This window comes from Homo sapiens, chromosome 8 (assembly GCF_000001405.40).
Source record: "Homo sapiens chromosome 8, GRCh38.p14 Primary Assembly".
Classification (NCBI taxonomy): Eukaryota; Metazoa; Chordata; class Mammalia; order Primates; family Hominidae; genus Homo; species Homo sapiens.
In genome coordinates this window covers 25,605,935-25,608,694 of record NC_000008.11, presented here as the reverse complement: position 1 = coordinate 25,608,694, position 2,760 = coordinate 25,605,935, and positions in this window count along the sequence as shown.

Genomic DNA, 2,760 nt, shown 5'->3' with positions numbered 1-2,760 from the left:
GCCGAGGCAGGCGGATCACGAGGTTAGCAGATCGAGACCATCCTGGCTAACATGGTCAAACCCCATCTCTACTAAAAATACAAAAAATTAGCTGGGCATGGTGGCGGGCACCTGTAATCCTGCTACTCAGGAAGCTGAGGCAGGAGAATGGTGTGAACCCGGGAGGTGGAGCCAACAGTGAGCAGAGACTGCACCACTGCACTCCAGCCTGGATAACAGAGCAAGACTTTATCTCAAAAAAAAAAAAAAAAAAAAAAAAAAAAAAAAATCAAGTCTATACCCGAGTGCGGTGGCTCATGCCTGTAATCCCAGCACTTTGGGAGGCCAAGGCGAGCAGATCACCTGACGTCAGGAGTTCAAGACTAGCCTGACCAACATGGAGAAACCCCGTCTCTACTAAAAATACAAAAATTAGCTGGATGTGGTGGCACGTGCCTGTAGTCCCAGCTACTCGGGAGGCTGAGGCAGGAGAATCGCTTGAACCCAGGAGGCAGAGGTTGCAGTGAGCCGAGATCGCATCACTGCACTCCAGCCTGGGCAACAGAGCAAGACTCCATCCCAGAAAAAAAAATTGCTCACATGGGAAATGTTAAGACACCTTGACATAAAAAAAAAAAAGTATTGGACTTTCACAGTTTTACACAAACAATTGCGTGCTGACTACCAGTCCATTGAACAGGAGCCCTGTTTTATTTTCTGTTTCCTGGTGTTGAGTACTGAAACTCATTTAAAAAATAATACAAGTAAAGAGGGAAGACAAAGAGAAATAACCCAGTATGAAACTTGCTTGGTTTTCAGGCCTCAGTGAAGGAATTGTGTCTCAGGTTCAGGGCCACCAAGATCACCTGCAGAGCCATTTGACTCAGTAGAGTTAGAGGGAGAGCCATCCTTGTTTTTTTTTATCAAGTAGGGATACAGAAGTAATAGTTACTAACCATCCTGCTGCCTGAGAAACACATTAACACATATACTAACATGGGCACCTCTGATTTATAAGGGTTCAAGTCCTAATTAACTGACAATGAGCAAAGTTAACTGATAGGCCAATTATTTGAACATTTACTTTAACTACCCCAGTGTACCGTACTAAGTCTCAAAAGGCTGATTTTCAAATTGATGGGAAAAACTCTGTTTGGAGGTTTTGGTAGTGGTGGTGGTAATTTGGTTTGTCTTAACAATGGCATGTTTTAACCTCAATGGCCAGCCCTACCCAAAGGGAAATGGATCATGGCATTGCTCTTAAAAATGACCTGAGCTATTAGCCTAATGATTGAGGAGGGCAATGCACTAGACATGATGAATCAAAAACAACCACGTGAATGCTGACAACACAGTCAGGAAACAAAAGAACGCAGCTGTAAACATGAACCATAAGGCTTCCTAACTAACAACACCTTTAAATATCTGTATTGTTGCTGTTGGTTTAAATCTGGCTAACATTTGGCCTCTCTTATTATAACTGAAATGTTATCTATAGATGCAATCTCTCTTGTATTTCAAAATGTTGTTTTTAAAGCCAGCTATGAATACATCAGAGACTCTTTCATATCTTGCGGAGGGAAAGTTCAAATGCACGAGTCTCTGAAATAAAGCCTACCCAGATATAATAAATGGGGCTGTCAGATTGATTCTCACTTGAGACACCAACTGTAGCTAATATTACTCGATATGCAGATGTTTTCTGTCTCTTTCTCTCAGACAAAAAAAAAGAGCATTTAAATGGAATAATGATAAATTAGTATTAATATGAAAAGACTCTGCTATAGTGTGGCAAAGGGCTCAACAGGTCAAGGCTTGGGGACCCATGTGAGCAACGGAGCTCTCACCTCTGTGCTAAAGGGTCTGAGGAATTTATTAGCTGAACTATTCACTCTGCTCAGGACCACACAATACTATTTAAAAAGAAAAGAAAAGAAAAGAAAGCCCTGAATTATACTACAACTTCTGGTGGGAGACAGACAAGGTCCCCCGCAGTGCCTGAAACATTGCACTGCATTGCACACAGATAGAAATGAACGGCTTAGTCGCAAACAAAAGTACTCACAAGTCCATCAAAAGGGTGAAAAATAGAAAAGGAAATCCTGACAATTCTTTATCCCAGTGCCAGAGCTGGTACTTTTTCTCAATGATTCTGCTGTCCCTGGATGCACCGCCAGGCTGCCTTCTGGAATTTCATTCCACAGCACCAGCAAATAGTCACCTTCACATTTGTTTCCACTTAAGTTTCCCCCACCTCTCTCGCCTTCTTGCCAACTTGTGTGCAGGTACACAGCATTGCAGAGGAATGTGGGAAAATGTCACTTCGCTGCTTTTCAAAAAAGGAAGAAAAGCTAATGATAGGAGCAAAGGGCAAAGGTTCTAATGGGGCATCTCCCTAAATGATGAGGCATTTCTTCCTGGAGAACATTTGGGAAGCTCTTACGAAGCGTCTCTTGGTGGTAATCAAATGCTCTCTGAAGTCCTTAGGACCTGGAGTCTGTAAACCTGGAGCACAGCCTTTTATTATGCTTCTGAGAGTTTACTTTGGACAAATAAATGAACTCCATGGGGGGAGGGAGACTTAAGTCACCTGAAAACATAGTGATATAAGACACAGTCTGCAAATGAATAACCTGAGTGGGCAGTGGTTTAGGTATTCATTTATTTACATATATGTTATTAGTGGAAGTCAGAAACTAGAAGATAACCATAGAAAGTGAACCAAATATTTATTCTATTCATCAGGACTCTCTAAATGGCTACACACTCAACTTCTAATTT